The sequence below is a fragment of the Homo sapiens genome, chromosome 22 (genome assembly GCF_000001405.40).
Source record: "Homo sapiens chromosome 22, GRCh38.p14 Primary Assembly".
In the NCBI taxonomy this organism is placed as follows: domain Eukaryota; kingdom Metazoa; phylum Chordata; class Mammalia; order Primates; family Hominidae; genus Homo; species Homo sapiens.
Window position 1 is genome coordinate 45,030,308 of NC_000022.11, and position 24,108 is coordinate 45,054,415.

Sequence of the window (24,108 nt, forward strand, 5' to 3'; positions counted from 1 at the left end):
GCTCTCACACTGTTTGACCTGGACCCACAGTAAGAAACAAATTGTACATAGAAGCCCAGGACCCACACCTCGTATGCACATACCTGCAACTGAATGAATTTTGTGGAATAAATATCTATGCATTGTGATCGTTTCTATTCTATCTTTTATACATTGATCTCAACCACCAAATTGATTTCATGCCCCACACATGAAATCAGTGGTGTGAAAAACCACAGCCAACCCTAAATGGTCGCTCATGTATCCAGTGTCTTTATATTCCTGGACTTCTCTTTCCATAAAACTCTCCCATTTCCTTCCCTGATAAAACAAGGGATGGTGCAGAAGTAACCAATGTAACCAGGGAGTAGCTGACTGCTGTGGTGCCTCCACCCAAAAAAGTCAGTAAAACCCAGGAAGCACTAATAATACTGGGTAGACCCGCAATGCCAGCTGGTGAAGGGACTCAACCCTCCCCAGAAGATGTTATTCATGAGATCCAGGGATCCAGGACAGGGCATGGCCCTTCAGACTTTGAAAATGTCCCAAGTAATTCTCACCTTCAACTTGTAACTGGGAATCACTGATCTCATCCAGTTTTTTTGTTTTTTTGTTTTTTTTTTTTGAGAAGGAGTCTTGCTCTGTTGCCCAGGCTGGAGTGCAATGGTGCAATCTCGGCTCACTGCAACCTCTGCCTCCAGGCAATTCTTCTGCCTCAGCCTCCCGAGTAGCTGGGATTACAGGCATGCACCACCACACTCGGCTAATTTTTGTATTATTAGTACAGACGAGGTTTCACCATGTTGGCCAGGCTGGTCTTGAACTCCTGACCTCAGGTGATCCACCTGCCTCAGCCTCCCAAAGTGCTGGGATTACAGGTGTGAGCCACCATGCCTGGCCTCATCCAGCTTCTTAATTTCACAATGCGTGAACTGAGGCACAGAGGAACAACCATTGGTCAATGATCTTAGGGATCCACGGGCTAAGCTGGGACTACTCGAAGTCATAGTGTCAGAGACTTGAAGCTCTTGGGGACTTCCTTTATTTTATACCTGGGAGACTGAGGCCCAAGGAGGGGAGGTGAGCACCTGATAAGACACAGTCGACAGGAGATTGGGACATGGCACCTGCAGTGGGTTGAATGGTGGCTCTCCAAAGGTTGTGTCCACATCTGAACTCCTGAAATCTGTGAATGTGACCTTATGTGGAAAGAGTATCATGACTTCAGACTTCTAGCCTCCAGAATTGTGCAAGAATATATTTCTGCTGTTTTAAACCAAGTTTCTGGTCACTTATCAACGGCAGCCCCAGGAAACTAGTACACACCCAAAACAAAAGTTCAGATAGTCATGGAATTCAGGTGGTCTAATGGATTCAGGCATTCTAATGGGATTCTGGTGTTCTAATAGAGGCAGGCACTCTAATTGAATTCAGGTGTTCTAATGGTTCAGTTATTCTAATGGAATTCAGGTGTTCTAATGGAGTCAGGCATTCTCATGGAATTCAGGTGTTCTAATGGAGTCAGGCATTCTCATGGAATTCAGGTGTTCTAATGGAGTCAGGTATTCTAATCGTTCAGATATTCTGATGGATTCAGGCATTCTAATGGAATTCAGGCATTCTAATGGTTCAGTTATTCTAATGGAATTCAGGTGTTCTAATGGAGTCAGGCATTCTAATGGAATTCAGGTATTCTAATGGATTCAGGTGGTCTAATAGAATTCAGATATTCTAATGGCTCAGGTATGGAATTCAGGTATTCTAATGGTTCAGGTATGGAATTCAGGTAGTCTAATAGGATTCAGGTGATCTAATGGAGTCAGGCATTTTAATGGATCCAGGTATTTCAATAGAATGCAGGTATTCTAATAGATTCAGGTATTCTAATGGATTCAGGTGGTCTAATAGAATTCAGTATTCTAATGGATTCAGGTATGGAATTCAGGTAGTCTAATGGGATTCAGGTGATCTAATGGATTCAGGCATTTTAATGGATTCAGGTATTTCAATAGAATTCAGGTATTCTAATGGATTCAGGTATTCTAATGGATTCAGGTGGTCTAATAGAATTCAGGTACTCTAATGGATTCAGGAAAATAGAATTCAGGTATCATAATGTTGGACTCCTGTCATGGGCCAGGTGCTGTACTAAGGATTAACACTAAGGATATTTCTCATGATGACACCAACAAGGCCCAGCAGGTACAGCTGTTATCCTGACAGTACACAAGTGTTAATTTGCTGAAGGCCAAAAGCTAGTGCTACACAGCCAGGACTGGAAGCCCGCACATCCTATCCACCCCTTCCTTTCCAGGTCTTTCTGACAGGCTGCAGGTGGGGCAGGTCTCTTTCAGGAGAATAAGGGCTTATGATTCTAGGTTCCCACCACGTGGGCAAGTATTGCTAAACCTGACATTAGCAACAAACTCCAAGACTCATGATCAAAATTTGAGGAGTAGCCCTGAAGTACAAAATAGAACTTTTTTTTTGAGACAGGGTCTCACTCTGTAGCTCAGGCTGGAGTGCAGTAGTGTGATCTTGGCTCACAGCAGCCTCCATCTCCCTGGCTCAAGTGATCCTATCACCTCAGCTTCCCAGGTACCTGGGACTACAGGCATGTGTCACCACACCCAGCCAGTTTTTTTATTATTATTTTTTGCAGAGATGGGGTTTTGCCACATGGTCCAGGCTGGTCTTGAACCCCTGGGCTCAACCAGTCCTCCCACCTTGGCTTCCCAAAGTACTGGGATTATAGGCGTGAGCCATTGTGCCTGGCCAATAGAACATTTTAAAAGGAGAATCATATTACAGAGTTGTTGGGGATTTTTTTCCTTACTCAAGATGAACGGGAAGGGATATATTCTCTGTGCTATATTCAGTAGAGAGGAAAGAACTTTTGTTTATTTTATTAAAAGAAATGAGAGCAAAGATGTTTGGCAGTTCTTAAGTTATTTAAAGCCCTAGCTTCAGCTTAATATTCCCTGTATGGTATTAGGATATGTGATACATAGTCAGAGAGGAGAGAAACCACAAAGTGGAAATCAGTCGACTTTCCACTTAACCACAAGAAGCAGCTGGTGTTAAGAAGTTTATAAGCCAGATGAGGGGTTGATGGGCATCCCAGGAGAGGCACGTTGTGAAGATGTCTGAGAGAAGACCTGGGATAGAAGAATCACAAAACCAACCTCAAGGATGAAGGGCTGCCAGGGGAGGCCAGATCTGAAGGTGTTCTCACCCCTCACTGATCATAGGGAAGGAGCCCTCAGACCCACAGGCAGCTTCTGGTACGAGGTGACTGAGCCTGGTCACAACTCACCTTTGGGTGGCACTTCTATGCTTTAAGAAGTATGCATACTTTAAGACTGGGCGAGAGGGATCATGCCTGTAATCTCAGCACTTTGGGAGGCCGAGGCAGGTGGATTGCTTAAGCCCAGGAGTTTGAGGCCAGCCTGGGCAACATAGTGAGACCCCTTCTCTTATAATTTTAAAAACTATATTAAAAAAGGAAGTACTTTAACATCTTCCTTGTTTAGCTCACAAAAAAAGTCCTATAAGGAGATGGGAAGTGTTATCATTGATATTTTACTGGAAAAACCCCACTGAGGTTCAAATTAAGTGTGATTTACCAAAAGTCTTATTCTAAATGGGTGATGGTAGGAGGTATTGTGTGAATTCCAGCCCTGAGAGTGCTCAAGAGCATCAAATCCCTCACTAACAGTCAGCCGAACATCTAGCTGTTCTCAAGGCGTTCAAACTTTAAATCTCACCAAAGCAGATTCCCTGCAGAGAAAACATCACACAGAAGTAAGGTTTTCTTAACCTATCACCGCGTTTCTCCCAGCCACAGAGGCAGATACGCCCTACGCATCTGACAGGTCAGACTACTCACAGCTTTCATTTTTATTCCTGCCATGCCCTGACTTAGAGACGCAGTTTCCCCATCTGGAAATAGAAGGGATGATGGGATGATCTTAAGGATCCTGAAAAGTCTTCCCAGCTCTAGAACTCCAGACTGAGCAGATCCACCCTGGGGACCCTGGCTCCACCGGTGGACGACATGGGCAAGAAGGCTCTGCATTCAAAGACTTTACATGGAAAGGGCGCGCGCTCTAATGCCTCGTATGGTCCTTCATAAGCGAAGACGACATCACTCACTCGCTGACCCTCTCCCTTGACCTCTGTCTTCTTTCCTTCCCCCTATTTCTTTTTGTCTGAGATGGGGATCTTTATCTCTTGCTCAGGTTGGAGTGCAATGGCACCATCACAGCTCACTGCAGCCTCAACCTGTCTGGCTCAAGTGATCCTCCCACCTCAGCCTCCCGAGTAGCTGGGACTACAGGTGCACAACACCATGTCTGGCTAGTTTTGTTTTTTGTTTTTGTTTGTTTGTTTTTTGCAGAGACAGGGTTTCGCCATGTTGCCCAGGCCAGTCTTGAACTCCTGGGCTCAAGCGATCCTCCTGACTCAGCCTCCCAAAGTGCTGGGATTACAGGTGTGAACCACGCACCCAGCCCTTCCCCCCATGTTAGTAGTTATGCTATATTTGTTTTATTATAGGCCACCTTGACTCCTCTTTACAGCTTGGCAAGGTATAATTCCCAATACATGCATGAAAGCAGGAAGAAAGGGAGGGAGGCAGAAACAGGGAGGAAATGAGAAAGGAGGGAGGCAGGGTGCGTGCAAGGTAGCAGACACCCTTTGAGTAGCTGGGACGCTGTCGGTGTGCAGCGTGCACATCGGGCGTTGCCTTTGCCAACAGTGATGGGGTTTCGCCATGTGGTCCAGGCTGGTCCACCTAAGGCAGTGGGCCAGGGGTTTTGATTCATCCTCTCCCTACAGCCCCCGCCCCCAGGTCAGCAGTCTTATCCCTACTTTATAAATGATGAAACAGAGGCTCAAAGACATCTTTGGCCAAGGCCACACAGCAGTACATGGTGGTGCCAGGATGTGCCCTCCTGGGGGGCAGCGTGGGGTAGCGATGAGGCACTGCCTTCAGAGGCCAAGTCCTGCCAGTGGCAGGGGCCTGGAAGTGATGTGCCTGGAGCGTCATGTGGGCCCCATCACTGGCCCCTACTGGGACCAGTCTGCACACTGGCTAGCAGACTGGCTGGCCTTTCCCTGACCACCCTTGCCTCTGAAGTGAGGTGGGTGATAATGCCGCCATCTCCCACCCACAGATGACAGCGAGCACTGAAGTGAAATAGAACTTTGGAAACCAAGAGGTCCTAAGACAGCAGTGACCTCATTTTTGCTAAAGTCCCCAATACTGCTGTGAGGCAGGGAGCCTAGAATCCTCATTTCCTTCTTCAGGTGAGGGCACAGAGGCCGCACAACGCCAAGACTTGTTTGCTGTGGGCTGATGGTGGGACCGGGCCTGGGGTCTAGACCCAGGCCCACACACTGGTTCCCCTCCCAGTGAGGTGGGCAAACTGGGCCAGCCCCAAAGTCCCTGTCTGCAACACTGAACTAAGCGGGCAACGGTACCTATAGGGACTCCTTAAAATGCTAGCTCTGTTTCCCTTTTTGGAAAAGGACCACTGAAGCCCATGGCAGCCAAAAATCTCAAGCAGACCCTGAGTCCATGCCCTGATGCTCTGGAAGGGGAAGGAAATAGAGCCAAGAGCTGGAACCTGGTCAGCTTAAGGCCACAGCGCCCTAAGAAAGGTTCTGTGTTCATGGACATGTGTGAGGACTGTGTCCTGACCAGCCCCCATGGGACTTCACACTGTGCATCTCACTTGGCATCTGGGGAGCCAAGGGCCACACCCGCCCAGGGCTACACAGCAACTGGGGTGGGAACTCCCTTCGCCAGGCGCCAAGCCCAGCGCTCTTTCTGCTCGGTCCATAGAGGGAAAGGCATTTGTTCCAGAAAGTCAGTCTCCTGTACACATTCCGCAAATCTCCCAAATGGAAGTCAGAACATCGCAATCACAGGCAGTCCCCCTCCAGCCACACCGCGCAGCCTCTGTGGAATCTGAGGCTGCTTAGAAGAACGGTTCTCAGCTGGTGCATGCTGGCTGCCATCCAAGGCCCACCCATGAATAGCCTTGATCTTGGGCAACACTGAGATGCTTTTTTCCTTTTTGGCCGCAGATGCTTGTGACACCGGCAAGTTGCCTGGCAGCGCCTCCTGGGTCTCCATGACCTGGTGCGGTTTGGAGACCAGCGAACTCTCCAATCCGCAGGGAGACCCGTTTCCCTTGGGAACAGGCGTGCTCGTCCACCCCCCGCCCACTTCTCTTTCATGTAGTCACTTCTAGCAGAGGAAGCGGCCGGTCCCTGTGCCCTGTCCAGGCAGGCCAGTGTCCAAAGCTGGCCCCCAGGGTGTGCTCTGCATGGCTTTTAGTCTGGAATGTTCGTGGAGACAGCCCACGTGCCTTGCTGGGTTTGAGCCTCACATGGACCTGATGGAGACAGAGCCGGAGGGTCCTGTGGTCCTTGCTCTTTGGGTAAGGACACCAGGCTCAAGTAGGTGAAAAGGATTTGCCACAGGTCCCGGCAGGTAGGAGGTGCAGCTTGGAACCACCCTGAGCTTCTGCCGATTCAAGGCCCATTAAATACTTCCCACCAAGGCAGCGGGACTGACCCCAAGCCAGGCGCTCTCCTGTCTCTGCACCCACCTTGCTGGGTGACTTTAGACCTGCTCCCTTCCTTCTCTGGGACTGTAATATGAGGAGAAAGGAAGCGTGTTTCCACCAGATCGAGGTTAGGGACTGTGGGAGGAGACACGACTCACAGTCAGCACCACGGGGCGCTGTGGGGCGGGTGCTCCTGGTTGTAGTGTCTGCCACCCCCTCGTGCTCCCTCATTTCCTCTTGAGGAGTCACCAGTGGTCTCCATTCACGTGTCAGGCCTGCCTGCCCTGAGCTCTCAGCGGGGACCCAGGGACAGCGCCCTCCCCCACACACTCTGTGGCTCCTTCTCAGACCCCTGAACACTTGGGCCTGGGACCTCTTACCCTACACCCTCTCCCTAGGGGATCACAGCTCAGCCAAGGCTTCCATGGTCAGTCTCACACCAGCTGCCTCCAATCACCAGGCCAACTTTTCATCTCTGCTGGGATGTCCTGAGGGACCTCAACAGCAGCACATCCAAAAACAGTCTCTTTCCATTGTGACAACATTCCATTGGTGGATGATAGTGTTCCATTGGTGTCAGCATTTCATGAGAGGGTGACAGCATTCCACTGGCGGGTGACTGTTCCATGAGAGGGTGACAGTATTCCATTGGTGGGTGACTGTTCCATGAGAGGGTGACAGTATTCCATTGGTGGGTGACTGTTCCATGAGAGGGTGATAGTATTCCATTCGTGGGTGACTGTTCCATGAGAGGGTGACAGTATTCCATCGGTGGGTGACTGCTCCATGAAAGGGTGACAGCATTCCAATGGCAGGTGACTATTCCATGAGAGGGTGACAGTGTTCCATTGGCGGGTGAGTGTTCCATGAGAGGGTGACAGTGTTCCATTGGTGGGTGACTGTTCCATGAGAGGGTGACAGCATTCCATTGGCAGGTGACTGTTCCATGAGAGGGTGACAGTGTTCCATTGGCGGGTGACTGTTCCATGAGAGGGTGACAGTGTTGCATTGGCAGGTGACTGTTCCATGAAAGGGTAGCAGCATTCCATTGGTGGGTGACAGTGTTCCATTGGTGGGTGACAGTGTTCCATTGGTGGGTGGCAGTGTTCCATTGGTGGGTGACAGCGTTCCATTGCTGGGTGACTGTTCCATGAGAGGGTGAGAGCGTTCCATTGCTGGGTGACTGTTCCATGAGAGGGTGACAGCGTTCCATTGGCAGGTGACAGTGTTCCATTGGTGGGAGACACTGTTGCATGCAGATGACAGCATTCCATTGGTGGGTGACTGTTCCATGAGAGGGTGACAGCGTTCCATTGGCAGGTGACAGTGTTCCATTGGTGGGAGACACTGTTGCATGCAGATGACAGCATTCCATTGGTGGGTGACTGTTCCATGAGAGGGTGACAGTGTTCTGTTAGCAGGTGACAGCGTTCCATTGGCAGGTGACAGTGTTCCATTGGTGGGAGACACTGTTGCATGCAGATGACAGCATTCCATTGGTGGGTGACTGTTCCATGAGAGGGTGACAGTGTTCTGTTAGCAGGTGACAGTGTTCCATTGGCAGGTGACGGTGTTCCACTGGTGGGTGACAGTGTTCCATGAGAGAGTGACAGCATTCTATTGGTGAGTGATAGTGTTCCATTGGTGGGAGACACTGTTCCATGGGGATGACAGCATTCCATTGGTGGATGACAGTTTCTATGGGAGGGTGACAGTGTTCCATGGGGGTGACAGCATTCCATGGGAAGGTGACAGTGTTCCATGGGGGTGATAGTGTTCCATTGGTGGGTGACAGTTTCTATGGGAGGGTGTCAGTGTTCCATGGGAGGGTGACAGTGTTCCATTGATGGGTGACACTGTTCCATAGGGGTGACAGCATTCCACTGGTGGGCAATGAGCTGGGTGGTGACATGGGCCCCAGCAGGGGAGAGTTAGTGGGGCTGAAAGAGTAAATGGCACAGCCGAGGCCAGGGCCTGTCTACAGAACAGGAGACCCCATGTGTAGGTGACTGGGGCCCAGCTGGCTTGAGTGGAGGCTGCACTGAGTGCTGAGATGACACCTGGGCTGACAGCCGATCTCCCAGTAATAGGAAATGAAAACAGGAGCTTGTGAGATAAGCCCTGCTGAAGGGAGCCCAGGAGCAGACATACCTGCAAAAGCTCTTTCTAAAGGACTTCTCTTTTGCTATTTTCTCACCTCACTTCCTGCTCAAGAAAGCCAGGGCTTCTCTGTTGGCAGAGGTCACTGTGGCTACACACAAGGGCTTGGGGCCAGCCAGACGTGGGGTGAGCTGTGTGCGTTTCTGCACAATTAACTTGGAGCCTGTGAATGAGTAGTGGGGCTGGGGTCACACAGGGAGATGCATGCAAAGGCCTGCATGTGGCACTGAGGTCGCCATGAATGTTCTCATTGGTTGTGTTTATTGATTGCTGTCTCAGTCCCTGCTGTAACAAAATACCATCAACTTGGCGGGGTTGGGTGGGGGTTATAAATAACAGAAATTTATTTCTTACATTTGTGAAGTCTGGAATTCGGAGATCAAGGCGCCAGCAGATTCAGTGTCTGGTGAGGACAGCTTCCAGCTCACAGACAGCTGTGTCCTCATGCGGTGGAAGAGAAAGGCAGCTTCCCATGGCCTCCAAAGGGCATGAATTTCATTCACGAGGCACCCCCACCATGACTACTCACCTCCCAAAGGCCCCACCTCTTAATGCCATCCCACTGGGGTTCAGTTTCAACCTGTGAACTTTGGGGGACAGATTCAGCCCTCAACAATCACCCTTCTTCCTGTTGCCCAAGTTGGAATCTGGCCATTGTTCTCAACTCCCTCAGCCTCCTGGTTCCATCCCTCCATCCCCAGCCTGGTACTCCCGCAGAGGTGATTGTTTTTTTAGTTTTTTTTTTTTTTTTTTTTTTTTGAGATGGAGTCTTGCTCTGTCACCCAGACTGGAGTGCAGTGGCATGATCTCGGCTCACTGCAACCTCTGCCTCCTGGATTCAAGCAATTCTCCTGCCTCAGCTTCCCGAGTAGCTGGGAATACAGGCATGCACCACCATGCCCAGCTAATTTTTGTATTTTTAGTAGAGATGGGGTTTCACGATGTCGGCCAGGCTGGTCTTGAACTCCTGACCTCGTGATCTGCACACCTCGGCCTCCCAAAGTGCTGGGATTACAGGCATGAGCCACTGCGCCCGGCCACAGGTGATTCTTGAGCCTGTCCCCCCTCTAACCCCTCACCTCCACCTAGCACCCCTGCCATGCTCAGGCCCAACACTGCTCTCTGGGGACATGGCAGCCCCCTCATGGCCACCCCAATTCCAGGCCTGTGAACTCTTACTTGTCCTCCTGCTGTGGCCAAGGTTATCTTTCCAGGCACAGCTCTGATGATGACCTTCCCCTACTCCCTGCTGTCCAGGATGGCCTTGCTCCTTGAACGAGCACCAACGGACCTCTCCCCTCCTCCCCGACAAACACCTGGCCTCTTCCTAAAGTCCCCAGTCACTCTCACAGCTCAGTACGCTTGACAAGCTTTCCTCTCCTTGGAATTCCCATTCCCACTGCCCACCTGGCCGGCTACAGGGCATCCTCCAGGTCCCATCTCCATCTCCCCTGCTCTGGGAAAAGGTCCCAGACTCCCTGGGCAGTTGTGATTCTTCCCTGGGCTGGAGTTCCCGCTGCCTCCTTGCTCACTGCCCAGCAAGGTGACCCCTCTTAGGTGGGGGCCCTTCGCAAGCGGGAGTGCTCTCAAGGAATCCTCCCTAAGCACTTCTGTGGGCCAGGCCCAGCACTGAGGACCCGGGCTCTGCAGAAGCCTCTAGGTGGTGGGTGAGACAGGTGTGCGCCAACCACAGGTACAGGGGAGGGAATGAACATGGTAAGATGGGTGTGCATATGGTTCTGTAGGTGGGCTGTGGAGGAACGGCCCATGCCACTTCAGGGGAAGTGACATTAAAGCTGGTTTTGGAGGGTCAATTGGGATTCATCAAAAATCCTTCTCCAGGCTGGGCGAGGTGGCTCACGCCTGTAATACCAGCACTTTAGGAGGCCGAGGTGGGCAGTTCGATTGAGCCTAGGAGTTCGAGACCAGGCTGGGCAACATGGTGAAACCCCGTCTCTACAAAAATACAAAAATTAGCTGGGTGCAGTGGCAAGTGCCTATAGTCCCAGCTACTCGAGAGGCTGAGGTGGGAGAATGGCTTGAGCCTGGGACGCGGAGGTTGCAGTGAGCTAAGATCAAGCCACTGCACGCCAGCCTGGGCAACAGAGCGAGACCCTGTCTCAAACAAAACAAAACAAAACGAAACTTCTCCAAGTACTCAGGTCCACCTGGACCACTCGCTTATCGCAGAGCCAAGGACATTGATCACCTGCTCCACAATCTGATGTGAAGAACCTGGAGACATGCGCTGGAAGGCGCTAGAGGCAGCTTCCCAGCAAAGCCAGGACTTCCCTTACTGGGGCCCTGAAAAGGCTTTGCTAAAAGTCTCTCCCTCCCCCAGCCTAGGGCTGGCTTTGCGGCCGTGTGACCTGTATAGCAGCACATGGGCTGCACTGAGAAGGGCCTTTTGCTGGGCTTAATGCTCTGCTGTTACCGATTTGAAATTCTTAAAATTTTGGACAAGGGGCCTGCATTCTCGTTTTGCATTGAACCCTGCAAATGATGTAGCCAGTCCTGGCCCAGAATAGCCCCTTCCCTCCAGCGAAGATGTCTAGAAATTATACTTCACGGTTTCCTGGACACCTGACATAATTTTAGTTAATATTTCATTGTTATTTTCTGGCCTAACCATTCATCTGGCATTATTACCCACCCCGGGAACAAAGTTTTTGGCAACCAAGAATGTCCTTGTAAGATGTTCTTTATTGACTGGGCACGGTGGCTCACGCCTGTAATCCCAGCACTTTGGGAGGCCGAGGATGGGAGGATCACCTGGGGTCAGTAGCTCAAGACCAGCCTGGCTCACACCTGTAATCCCAGCACCTTGGGAGGCTGAGGCGGGAGGATCACCTGGGGTCAGTAACTCAAGACCAGCCTGGCTCACACCTGTAGTCCCAGCACTTTGGGAGGCTGAGGCAGGAGGATCACCTGGGGTCAGTAACTCAAGACCAGCCTGGCTCACACCTATAATCCCAGCACTTTGGGAGGCTGAGGCGGGAGGATCACCTGAGGTCAGGAGTTCAAGACCAGCCTGGCGAACGTGGCAAAACTCCATCTCTACTAAAAATACAAAATTAGCCAGGCATGTTGACAGATGCCTGTGATCCCAGGTACTCGGGAGGCTGAGGTAGGAGACTCGCTGGAACCCAGGAAGCAGAGCTTGCAGTGAGCAGAGATCACCCAGAAATAGGCACTGGATGAATTAAGGAGTGATTCACGAGAGGTTCCCCTTTTTAAGAAAACAATTCCCTATGGAATTCCTTTAACTAGCCACACTCCTAGTACATTTTTAATGTGCTTTAACATATTAAAAATTATTTACACGCAGTCTTCTCAGGTCTGTTCGTTGAGCCAGTGTGCCTGACCTCCATTCTGTGCGGGGTAAAGGATGGCTGCCACCACCCCCACCCCCTCGGGTGCTGTACACCAGGGCTGGCACCAACTGGAACATGCTGAGGCATGCCAAGTCAGGACCCCCACGTGGCTCAAGCCTAGGGCTCGGCAGTGAACTATCAGTACAGAGTCCTCAACTCGTCTTGGGTCCAAAGTGAGTGAGAGTAGCCCTGAATCAACATACTAGCACCTTTCATTGGCCAGAAACACTGTGCTGATCATGGAGACCCAGAACGACCCCAGGACCCCAAGACGGTCCTATGAACACAGGCCTGCAACTCCTCGGGACATCTGGTCACCCTCACATGCCTGGGGGAAGGTTGGACAGGGGAGACCCAGGAAAAAGGGACCAGACTCCACATGAGTCTCTGCCCAGGACTGGGTGCCCCAGCCAGGTGACATTCTCAGCATGGTTGGTCCCAGGCATGGCAGAGGTCTTAGAAAATGTGGAGGGAGACCCTGGGAAGAACAGGCCCCTGAGGCAGGGGCCGCACTTGCTGGCGTTGAAAGCTCTAAGGGCGGTGCAGATTCTGGACCTCACTTGCCTCCTCTGTCAGCTGGGAATGATAATCCCCACCGAGACGCGACAACTGTAAGGATCAGCTGAGATGGTGGATTTAAGGGAGCCCGCCAATGCTCAGGCATCACGGTGATGTGGATTTATGACGAGGATGGTGTTTGGGCTCATGTGCATAGAGGAGTGTGAATGCCAATTCCAGAAAATCCCCAGCACAGCCCTCCTGAGGAGCATAAACAGGGAATGGATGATGAAAAAAAAAAAAAACCTCTTCTCCAGGATCCTAAAATGTATCGATTTGGTTTTAATGGGGAGCGAACCAAATTTCTCTTGAAGCTGTTTCCTGCAGTTTTAGTTGCAGGATGGGAGTGGATTTGCTCATTGATGAAGGAAAGTTACAGAGAATAGAGGAGCCCACTACACCTGGGTGCCCAGGGAAGGTGTGGGGAGGAGGGATGTGCGGCCCTGAGCCTTTATGCAGGAATCTGGGGGGACTCAGGACTGGGGGAAAGGGGTTACTGAGGGTCATCAGGAGTGGATGCAGAATCTTCATGAATTTCATGGAGAGGAGAAGAGTGAGGCAGAACTGGGTGCAGGTCCCAAGAGAGGTGCCTAGCTGGGGCTGGTTGGGGACCTTTTAGGGGCACTATGGGAGATAGGAAATTAGCCAGGAATGGCCAGAATCTGCAAATGTTTCCTTATATGGTAAAAGGGATTCTGCAGATGTGATTAAATCAAGGATCTAGGCGTGGTGACCCACGCCTGTAATCCCAGCACTTTTGGAAGCCAAGGTGGGCAGATCGCTTGAGCTCAGGTGTTCGAGACCAGCCTGGGCAACATGGCGAAACCCTGTCTCTACAAAAAATACAAAAGTTAGTCAGGTGTGGTGGCACATGCCTGTAATCCCAGGTACTCAGGAGACTGAGGTTGGAGAATTGCTTTAGCCTGGGAGGCAGAGGCTGCAGTCAGCCGAGATCGCACCACTGCACTCCAGCCTGGGTGACAGAGCGAGACCCTGTCTCAAAATAAAATGTAAAAAGTCAAGGATCTTGATGTGGCGATACTGTCCCAGACTATCTGAGTGGGCATGCTGTGATCTCTGGATCCTTATGAGAGGGAGGCAGAGGGATCTTTGATGAGCAAGGAGGAGGAAATGATAGGATGATGGATACGGATTAGAGTGATGGGATTGGAAGATGGTGGAAGGAGCCACAAGCCAAGGCATGCAGGCAGCCACTGGAAGCCGACAAAAGCAAGGAAACAGATTCTCCCCTGCAGCCTCTAGAAGGAACCAACCCTGCAGATACCTTGACTTTATCCAGCGAAAATGATTTCAGACTGCTGACCTCCAGAGCTGTAAGTGAATAGAGGTCTACTGTTTTAATCCACTGCATTTGGGGTAACTATTTACAGCAGCCATAGAGAACTAATACACAAGAGGACCCCGAGTTCTGAGTCAGGGCTGGAACCAGGCTGTGCAGGCTACCCCTGGTTCCCAGGTTTCACTCAGGCAGCCCCTCACACCTTCACCACCAGCCTCTGTCTTTGCAAACTAAAGAGCCCCTTCTAAAGAACCCCAAGGTTTCCCTTCCCCCAGGAGGGTTCCAAGCACCCTCCAGGGCCTTTCTTGAGGGTCTTGAGGAGCTGCCTGCTGGATCGCAAGTGTGGAAAACGTTTCCTGGCTTGGGCTCCTGTGTTCTTGTCCTCTAACTCCATCCAATCAATCATGAGGCAAAGGGATCTCCATCGGCCATGAAACAGGCTCCTCTACCACCATGCCTGGCTAATTTTTGTATTTTTTGCAGAGACAGGGTTTCGCTGTGTCACCGAGGCTCATCTTGAACTCCTGGTTTCAAGCGATCCACCTGCATCAGCCTCACTAAGTGCTGGGACAATCTCCCCACATCAAGATCCTTGAGTTTTTAAATTTTATTTTGAGACAGGGTCTCGCACTGTCACCCAGGCTAGAGTACAGTGACGTGATCTCAGCTCACTGCAGCCTCTGCCTCCCAGGCTCAAGTGGTCCTCCCACATCAGCCTCTTGAGTAGCTGGGACTACAGCTTTGTGCCCCCACACCTGGCTAATTTTTGTATTTTTTGTAGAGGCATGGTTTCGCCATGTTGCCTAGGCTGGTTTTGAGGCGTCGGCAGGGCTGAGGCAGGAGAATCTCTTGAACCTGGGAGGTGGAGGTTGCAGTGAGTTGAGATTGCACCACTGCCCTCCAGCCTGGGCAACAGAAGGAGACCCTGTCTCAAAACCACAACAAAACAAAAAATAAATAGGGATCAAATCCAACCATCAATGTGGTTCTTCTGGTTCCAGAATTCCCTAATTCTAGATGCGTTATTCCTGACTCTTTATTGAATCATAACTGATAGCTCAGAGCAGTCGTTTTATTGGCACAACTGAGTTATCTTCCCCTGACGGCATTAACTGCTGCTTGCAGACACAGAGTTCATCCAGCACGTGCTTCCCACGCAGGATTCTCAGGAGACCTGCCTGGAGACGCTCTCTGAGTTTGGCAAGTCATTCCCAGAGGAGGAAGCGACAGTTAGAAACTCAGATATTTCACAGAGTGCCTCCATTTCCAGGTAATTTATTAAAATCTACAAGAACTAAGGGAGAGCCCTTCCTCATTAATTTCTTGACCTGGAGAATGTTTATTGCCCTTTCCCTTGCTTCCTGATTCTACACCATTTCATTTATAACAAAAGGCTTTTTCCTTAAAAAAAAAACAACAACAACAGAAGTTTTGTTTGTTTGTTTGTTTGTTTGTTTTGAGACAGAGTCTTGCTCTGTCACCCACGCTGGAGTGCAGTGGTGCAATCTTGGCTCACTGCAACCTCCGCCTCCCGGGTTCAAGCAATTCTCACGCCTCAGCCTCCCAAGTAGCCGGGATTACAGGCACGCACCGCCGCACCGGGCTAATTTTTGTATTTTTAGTAGAGACGGAGTTTCGCCATGCTGGCCAGGCTGATCTTGAACTCCTGACCTAAAGTGATCCACCCACCTTGGCCTCGCCAACTGCTGAGATTACAGGTGTGAGCCACCTGGCTAAAAAACCGAAGTTTTTGATGAGACAATTTACTTGTAGATTTTTAAAAGTTTAACCAGTATATGTCTTAGTTATTCCATGTTCACTGTTTACCCACTAAAAAAAAATTCAATTCCATTATATTCTAGTTCTTTTTTCAGTTAAAGATTTTAATATATGTCAGGGGTGATGGCTCACACCTGTAATCCCAGCACTTTGGGAGGCCAAGGTGGGCGGACCACTTGAGCCCCTGAGTTTGACACCACCCTGGGCACCATGGCAAAACCCCATCTCCACAAAAAAATGCAAAAATTATCCAGACATGGTGGCACAAGCCTATAGTCCCAGATACTGGGGGGGCTGAGGCGGGATGATCACTTGAGCCTGGGAGTAAGGTTGCAGTAAGGTTGCAGTAAGCCTGGCAACAGAGCAAGATCCTGTCTCAAAAAAAAAGAAAAGAGGCTGGGCGCAGTGGCTCATGGCTATAATCCCAGCACTTTGGGAGGCCGAGGCAGGCGGCTCACCTGAAGTCAGGAGTTTGAGACCAGCCTGGCCAACATGGTGAAACCCCATCTTTACTAAAAATACAAAAAATTAGCCGGGTGTGGTGGTACATGCCTCTCATCCCAGCTACACGGGAGGCTGAGACAGGAGAATCCCTTGAACCAGGGAGGCGGAGGTTGTGGTGAGCCGAGATCACGCGACTGCACTCCAGCCTGGGTGACAGAGTGACACTGTCTCAAAAAGAAAGAAAGAAAGAAAGAAAAGGTAATACAGTTGTGCCCTTGCCATAGGTCTGTCCTCATCACTACTTTGCCTAAGCTTTTATTTACTGACTTGCAGAACATTTATCCCAGCTAAACCCAGAAGCAACCCAGGAGCCTGTCCTGATGAAGAGACAGAGCCAAGAGGATGCTCACCACCAGCCCTCACCTCTCAAATTCTAATAAAAATGCCTCAAATCTGCCCAGTTAAAGATATGCAGCAAGGATGGGGATGTATTTATTCAATTATTCATTTGATATGACCCTTCCCCCTGCTCCAGGCATGTGAGCCGTGCCTGCTTCCCCTTCACCTTCCGCCATGATTTTAGGTTTCCTGAGGCTACCCCAGAAGCAGAAGCTGCTATGCTTCCTGTACAACCTATGGAGCCATCAGTCAATTAAACCTCTTTTCTTTATAAATTACCCAGTCCCAGGTATTTCTTTATAGCAGTTGCGAGAACAGACTCATACATCCTCCAGCAGCTCATTCACCATCCAGCAGCAAATATAAGCATGGCCCTCCTGGCTCAGACTCCTCAGCTTCAAGGTTGAGAGCTTCCAAGCTGCTCCTCACCAACTGCCCAGCTCAGTGGTCACTCCAGCCACGCTGGACACCAGCAGTCTCTCTCTCCCCAAGTCTCGCTGGCCTCTGGGCTTCAGCACAGCCTGTCCCCCATGGCTAACTGCTGCTACCTCTATGCTGCAATTTCCAGGTCAGCTGTGCCCACCCCCTTATCCCCCCAGGCCCTAGTGCCCCTCAGCTGGGACATTCCCTGGAGGCCACGCAGCCTGTGCTGTCCCATCTGAGGACTTCTCCGATGCTATCAAAAGTGCCTGTGACCTCTGACTCCCCCAGGGGCTCCACCTCAGTGACCGTGCCCTGGCCACTTTCCAGCTTTCACACCGAGCCTGAGACACAGCAGACATTCAATAAATCTTTGATGAATAAAGGCAGGATCCACTGACTACTTTAAGGGAAGTGAGATGATCAAGTTTGCTTTTGTAAATATTTGTCTAAGTTATTAAAGCAGCCCATATTAGTGATAACCAATGAAAATGACACCAAAGAGCCTCCCAAGAAATGACTTCTCCAGATCTCATTCCTCGGGGGTAACTGCTGTTTTCAGTTTGGGATGAATCATTTCAGAATTAAAACAATAACAACACAACCAGCACCAATCCAATTCCATATACAGGGAAGCATTTTTTAAAGAATAAATATAGATATCCGTGCATACATGCATAACATTATACTATATATACCATCTTGTAACTTGCTTTTGTCTATAAACATATCAAGAATCGGGAATATTTTTCTGTAATAGATACTATTTGTAAATAGATACTATCTGCTTTTTTAAGCTTGCATCTTATTCAACTTAGCGAATGCACCATAATATATATTTTTTTCTTTTTTCTTTTGAGACAGGGTCTCACTGTCACCCAGGCAGGAGTGCAGTGGAGCAATCAGGTGTCACTGCAGCTTTGACCTCCCAGGTTCGAGTGATCTTCAACCTGCCCAGTAGCTGGGACCACAGGTGCATGCCATCATGCCTGGCTAATTTTTGTATTTTTTGATAGAGATGGGGTCTCCCTATGTTGCCCAGCCTGGCCTTGAACTCCCGGGTTCAAGCAATCCTCCCACCTTGGCCTCCCAAAGTGCTGGGATTATAGGCATGAGCCACCATGACCAACCACATTTTCTTTTAAAATGAACGTCTTATTTTGGAATAATTTTAGATTTACAGAAATGTTGTGAATATAGCACAGAGTTCCCCTAATGTTGCCATAACCATGGGACATTTGTCAAAACTAAACATGCACGTTGGTATATCATTATTAACGAAATCTTTTGCTTGCGTTTCACCAGTTTTCTCACTAAGGCCCTTTTTCTGTTCCAGGACCTAGTCCAGGCATTGAGTTTCTCCCTGCAGCCCTGATTTAGCAATTCCCACATGGTGGACACTTGGTGTTTTGCACTTTTGCTGTGCCATGAGGCTGCAGTCCGCACCTCGTGGCCTCTCTCCCTGCTCACCTGCACACATCCTTCCCTCCCACAGGTGCATCCTTCCCTCCCACAGATGGGCCAGAGTGGAGGGCAGTGCGAGGTTATGCAGGCACAGGAGGCTGCTCCCAGAGGAGGGAGGCGTGGCAGTTGTCTACCTTACCTCCACCTTGTTTCTGTGATTTGCACTTTAGCAAGCTCACTCTGGCTCCTGGGGCTGAGACTTGGAGGGAGAAGGCTGGTCTAGAGGCTTCAGTGGAGGGACAGAGGCAAGGGGACAGACATTAGAGAGCTTTAGACAAGACTCCTGTCTGGTTGGGTGTGGAGTTGAGTGAGGGGAATGATGAAGGACTTCAGCTTTGTTATTTAGGCAAAGGAAGTCATGGGGCCCTTCAGGGAGGCAGCAGGAACAGGGGAGGAGGTTCATCAAGAGGCTGAGGGATCCAGTTGTGGCTCCGATGTTTGGGTGCCCTTGGGATACCCGGGAGGCAGGAGTCATAGATTTGGAGCGTCCCGAGTGGCCAGACGAGAGCCGAAGCCATGGATGGGGATGTGACGCCCTTCCTTCTAGATTGGATCTACCGAATTAAAGACACACACAAGCTCAAGCACACGTGCACACACAAAGCTTGTTTTTTAAAATCCAGCAGAAATTGTGCGGACACACACAGCTGGAGGGTGATTTAGCTACAGAACACAGAGACCTGGAAAACCCAGCAGGAGGAGCTGAGCCTGCCGTGGATGCCCTGGTGGAAGAGCTGTGAAGAAGCGTTACATCCAGGCTAGTGGCACCAGCAGGTAGCTGAAGGGGATGTGTGATGCAGGTCTGTGGCCGACACCCGGCCATCCTGCTCTTTCTGCTGCGCTGAGCTAGACAACAGTCTGTCCCACTCCAGGCACGTTGCCTTTCCCCGGTGCCCCTTACATGGATCTCTGGGCCGCCTGGGTCTAGCCTGTCCCCAACTTGCCATCACCCCTCACTCCTCCACCTGCCATTCCGCACAGGAGGAAACTGAGCCACTGCCCCGCTTCTGAGAACTCCTCAGCTATCCTTAACTCTCCCACAGCCTCCCCTCTGAGGATGAGTGTCTTCACCTGCAGAGCCTGCAGCGGGGGACAAGATTAAGGTTAAGGTCCTTCCTTGAGTCAGAGTAGCATGGGCAATGAAGGAACCATGGGCAGGCAGATCTGGTTCCAATCTTACGTCAGATCTGATCAGCTATGTGACTTTAAGTCAGTTATTTAACCTCTCTGAGATATACATCTCTCTCTCCCTCTCTCTTTCTAGTGGGGACGATAATTCCCAGCTTGCAGGGGTTTTCTGGGAAGCTGAGAACATGGATGTGAAGTATCTAGTACATCACTGGGACTAACTAAACAGCAGCTGTAATTACAATTATTATAGGAATTCTGAGCTATTTCAACTCCACAGTTAAAGGGAGATATTTTCAAAGTTCCAAGCCATGTAAGGTAAATCAGGGACAGTTCACACTGCCACTGTCCCCCAGAGTGAATTATTCACCCTGAAAAGTGTGTTCAATAGAGATTATTAACTTGCAGAGGGGAATAAGTTTCAAAGAATGGCAAAAGCACGTCTAATCTTAATTAGGTGCCATTTTTCTCTGTCCACCTAGAAAAAAACTAGTTCCTGGATTTGCAGGAGCTGGGGTCCATTGCAAAGGGGAAAACAATAGCTTAGAGGATTCCTGCACGTTAGGATAAAGGAGAGACTATCCATGGGGGAGGACCACATGGAAAAACACTGCTCTGTCCAGGGGTGAGTGAGTGTCACAGCCTCCTCCCATGTCACAACGCACAGTGCTGCCTCTACTTGGGACATCAGTGTGTTTCAGAAGCCATCAGATTCTCTGTGAAGTGCACAGTTTACAAGCCCTATGTTCCCGCCAACTGGCACCCTGAGACAGTGGCTTTGTGCCCTGAGCCTGGGCTGCAGTGGAATGAAAGTTCATTGCACATTGAGCTGCTGGAACAGAAGGTGGTTTGCTCAACATGGTACAGCTCCGACCGTGAGCTGATGGAAGCCTGTTCTTGAGGGAGGCTTCTGTCCCCTTCCCCTATTCAGAGCAGCCCCTGCGCTTTCACACAGGAGTTCAGCTGAGGAGTATCCCGAACTCAGAGGACCCCTCTGTGTTCCAGTCAAGCCTCTGCCATCACCTGCTATGTGTCTTTGGGAAAGTCCCTCAACTTCTCTGTGACTCAGTTTCTTCACCTGTAAAACAGGGATGACAAGTGTATTTGCACCATCTACCCGTTAAAGAGAATAATGGACGTAAAGGTGCCATGTGCCCACATAATTCATCGTGATTGTCATTCTCTTGTTCTACTTGTGCCCCCCACCCCAAGACTTCCTGCCCAAGAATGTACCATGGAAAATCCAGGCACTGTGGCCTCACAGAATGTGCTGGAAGAGGGTGTTTTGGTGAGGAGGTGGTGTCCCCCATGGAATGCAGCTGAGAGAGTAAGTAAGCGGAGGCCAAGCACCCCTATGAGCCCTGACTGAGGCCTCTTCATGGGGCACCTCCCGAGGCTCTGGTCACGCACCACCCACCTCGCTCAGGATCCTACGCCCTCCACTTCTTACCAGGGCGCCCACTCCAGAAGTTCAGTGTAAGTCATTACTCTCCCAATGTAAGGCTTTCAATGCACCCCATAAAGAGGGGCCCAGGTGCTGGCTCTTTCCACCCCTGCTCCCGTCCCACTCCAACCCATCCCTCCTGGCTTTGGCCATCACTGTCCCACCGCAACCTCAGGGCCACCATGTTCGTGGTCCCCATCTGTCCTCAGCAACACTCAACTCCTGGACTGCCCCCTTCTTCCCGTGGCCCCCGGCTCCCACTGTTCCCCACCCTCCTTCCCAGGCTCCATGGCCAGGTGGCCCCTCTGCCCATCCTGAGCCTCTGCTCTCTGGTTGGCCACCCCAGCACGTGACTCACCTGGGCTAAATGCCCTTCAGCCGCATCTCTCCCTGAGTACTGTGCGTGGCCATCAGCTCCTTCTTGTCACCTCTCTGGACTCTCAGTGGGCATCTCAGGTTCAAATAAAAGTCCCCACTCCCTCTCCCCCAAGCAGCCCCTCCCCTGTCCTCTATCTGGTTGTCTACAGCAAAGCCCTGGGCAGCAGTCATGGCTCCCACGTCAGTCCACCCCATTTCTCATGGGACCACCTTCAGATTTCTGAGCACTTGCCCAGCCTCCTTCAACCTCCTCAGGAGGTCACCCTGCACTTCTGCAAGCCAGGCTCTGCCTTTCCTCCTGCAGGAGAGCTCTGTGTGTCCTTTGGCCATCACCTTAGAGCCCGCAGCACATCCAAGCTTATCCACTCACATCTTCTTTCCACCCTTAAGAACAGAAGCGGCACGGAGCAGAGACCAGCCTAGGACCCGAGCCCTGGGCACAGGGCCTGCCGCATCGGGCATGGATGACGGGTGTGGGATTCCACCCCCCGTAAGGCCCGCCCCAGCTCTCTGTCACCTCCCCCAAGACCCAGGCTCTAACTCAGAGATCTCTGAAAATAGGACAATGATTCCTTGTGTTGTGGCCTCTGTTCATTCCACTCTCTGCCTCTAATACTCTTCGGTCTTTCTGTTCTGTTTGGTCAGCTGCGGGTCCCTCTTCAAGCAGCAACTCACAGGTCCATCTCTTCGGGGTGCCCTCCAGGCCTCCCAGGGAGGGGACTGCATTGCTGGGTCCCTTCTCAGGGACCCTCATTCCATCCTCACCACCCTGGCCTCATCCCTCATCTCTCCCTGCTGTGGCAGAACACTTCTGCCTCCCTTCTCTCCGACAGAAGACGAAGCTTCTATACTTGCTTCCAATGGCTTCTTGAAAAGCGGCATGGCCCAGTCCATCAGGCTTGTGAAAGGAAAATAAATCTCGGGGCCCCAGATCACTAAGCTAAAGGGAAAAGTTGAGCTGGGAACTGCTTAGGGTCAACCTGCCTCCCATTCTATTCAAAGTCACCCCTCTGCTCACTGAGATAAATGCATATCTGATTGCCTCCTTTGGAGAGGCTCATCAGAAACTCAAAAGAATGCAACCTTTTGTCTCTTATCTACCTAAGCCCCTCCCTGCTTCCCTCCCACCATTGCATCGAGTTGTCCTGCCTTTCCAGACTGAACCAATGTTCCTCTCACACGTGTTGATTGATGTCTTCTGTCTCCCTAGAATGTATAAAACCAAACTGTCCTCTGACCACCTTGGGCACATGTCTTCAAGACCTCCTGAGGCTGTATTCTTGGCATATAAAGGTGTAAACCAGAAAGTATCTGAGACGGGTCTCAATTAATTTAGAAATTTATTTTGCCAAGATTAAGGACATGCCCCAGAGAGAAGTCTGTGCCTTTCTCCAAAGATGATTTTGAGGGCTTCCATATTTAAAGGGGAAAAGTGAACTGGAGGAGAAAGAGGGAGGGTGTAGTTACTGAATCCACATGTTACAAGGGAAAAGCAGCAGGTAGGGGAGTAGTCAATCATGTATTCGCCTGGCACTCAGTAAATCAGCACTTTACATAAGATAAGGTGAACACTGGATTAGCTACCTGGAGAGATACTTAACCTTTTCTCTGTAGCTCTCTGCTTAGGAACAAAAGGAAAGGTAGCTTCTTGCATGACTCAGCTTGCAGCCTAATTTCTTTCTTTTGGCCAAGTGAATTGGGGTCCTGAGTTTTTATTTTCCTTTCACAAAGGGGAGCTTTAGAAGATCCTTCTCTTGCCCAAAACATAAAAATAAAAAGTTGGCTTTCAAGACTATGTTCTTACTCCAGATCAGGGGCTCTCAGCTGGGATGATTCTGCCTGCCAGGGGGCATTGGGTGGTGTCTGGAGACATTTTTAATCATCTGGACTTGGAGGCCGAGGAGTGGCCCCTCTATCTGAATGTGGGTAGAGGCCAAGGATGCTGCTGATGCCCTACAGGATCTTACCTCAAATGTCCACAGTGTCCAGGCTGAGCAACTCTGCCCTAGGCCTAACAAATCCTACTTTGCATGCAAAAACCAAGCCCCAAGTCTTTTCTCTTGATGTTCCTCCTGAAGCAATGCTAATTGCCCCTGAGGCAAAGGACACCTTGGCTGAATAGAAGGGACTCAAGAAAATGCATGCTTTTAAATACAGCCTTTACAAATGTCACCAAGGAGAGGTCCTTAGCACTGTGGGACTATATTGAGGGCCCCTGACATCATCTGGGTCTCCTCAGGGGAGATTGAGATTTGAAATACAAGGGAAGAGGAGTTCTGAGCAAAAGGACATACAGACCCAGAAGTTGGGCTGTGATATGGTTTGGCTGTGTCCCCACCCGTATCTCATCTTGAATTATAGCTCCCACAGGTCATGGGAGGGACCCAATGGGAGGTAATTAAATCATGGGGGCAGGTTTTCCAATGCTGTTCTCATGATAGTGAATAAGTCTCATGAGATCTGATGGTTTTATAAAGGGCAGTTCCCCTGCACACATTCTCTTGCCTGCCACCATGTAAGATATGCCTTTGCTCCTCCTTTGCCTTCTGCCATGATTGTGAGGCCTCCCCAGCCATGTGGAACTGTGAGTCCAATAAATCTCTTTTTCTTTATAAATTACCCAGTCTCAGGTATTTCATTATAACACGTTTGGGACAGCGGACTGGGAGGGGGTGGGAGGGGCTGGAGGGAAAGGAGCTGCCT

At 50.4% G+C, this 24,108-nt stretch overlaps 6 annotated features.

The window, feature by feature from the left end:
- Positions 1,065–1,702: an enhancer, noted in NCBI's record as "OCT4-NANOG-H3K27ac hESC enhancer chr22:45427253-45427890 (GRCh37/hg19 assembly coordinates)". NCBI's record gives its function as "activates a minimal SCP1, AML or CMV promoter by ChIP-STARR-seq in primed H9 embryonic stem cells {active_cell/tissue: H9 hESC(primed)}" and the evidence as "EXISTENCE:reporter gene assay evidence [ECO:0000049][PMID:30033119]".
- Positions 1,703–2,340: an enhancer, noted in NCBI's record as "OCT4-NANOG-H3K27ac hESC enhancer chr22:45427891-45428528 (GRCh37/hg19 assembly coordinates)". NCBI's record gives its function as "activates a minimal SCP1, AML or CMV promoter by ChIP-STARR-seq in primed H9 embryonic stem cells {active_cell/tissue: H9 hESC(primed)}" and the evidence as "EXISTENCE:reporter gene assay evidence [ECO:0000049][PMID:30033119]".
- Positions 19,253–19,826: an enhancer, noted in NCBI's record as "H3K4me1 hESC enhancer chr22:45445441-45446014 (GRCh37/hg19 assembly coordinates)". NCBI's record gives its function as "activates a minimal SCP1, AML or CMV promoter by ChIP-STARR-seq in naive H9 embryonic stem cells {active_cell/tissue: H9 hESC(naive)}" and the evidence as "EXISTENCE:reporter gene assay evidence [ECO:0000049][PMID:30033119]".
- Positions 21,625–22,428: an enhancer, noted in NCBI's record as "OCT4-NANOG-H3K27ac-H3K4me1 hESC enhancer chr22:45447813-45448616 (GRCh37/hg19 assembly coordinates)". NCBI's record gives its function as "activates a minimal SCP1, AML or CMV promoter by ChIP-STARR-seq in naive H9 embryonic stem cells {active_cell/tissue: H9 hESC(naive)}" and the evidence as "EXISTENCE:reporter gene assay evidence [ECO:0000049][PMID:30033119]".
- Positions 22,429–23,233: an enhancer, noted in NCBI's record as "OCT4-NANOG-H3K27ac-H3K4me1 hESC enhancer chr22:45448617-45449421 (GRCh37/hg19 assembly coordinates)". NCBI's record gives its function as "activates a minimal SCP1, AML or CMV promoter by ChIP-STARR-seq in naive H9 embryonic stem cells {active_cell/tissue: H9 hESC(naive)}" and the evidence as "EXISTENCE:reporter gene assay evidence [ECO:0000049][PMID:30033119]".
- Positions 23,234–24,037: an enhancer, noted in NCBI's record as "NANOG-H3K27ac-H3K4me1 hESC enhancer chr22:45449422-45450225 (GRCh37/hg19 assembly coordinates)". NCBI's record gives its function as "activates a minimal SCP1, AML or CMV promoter by ChIP-STARR-seq in primed H9 embryonic stem cells {active_cell/tissue: H9 hESC(primed)}" and the evidence as "EXISTENCE:reporter gene assay evidence [ECO:0000049][PMID:30033119]".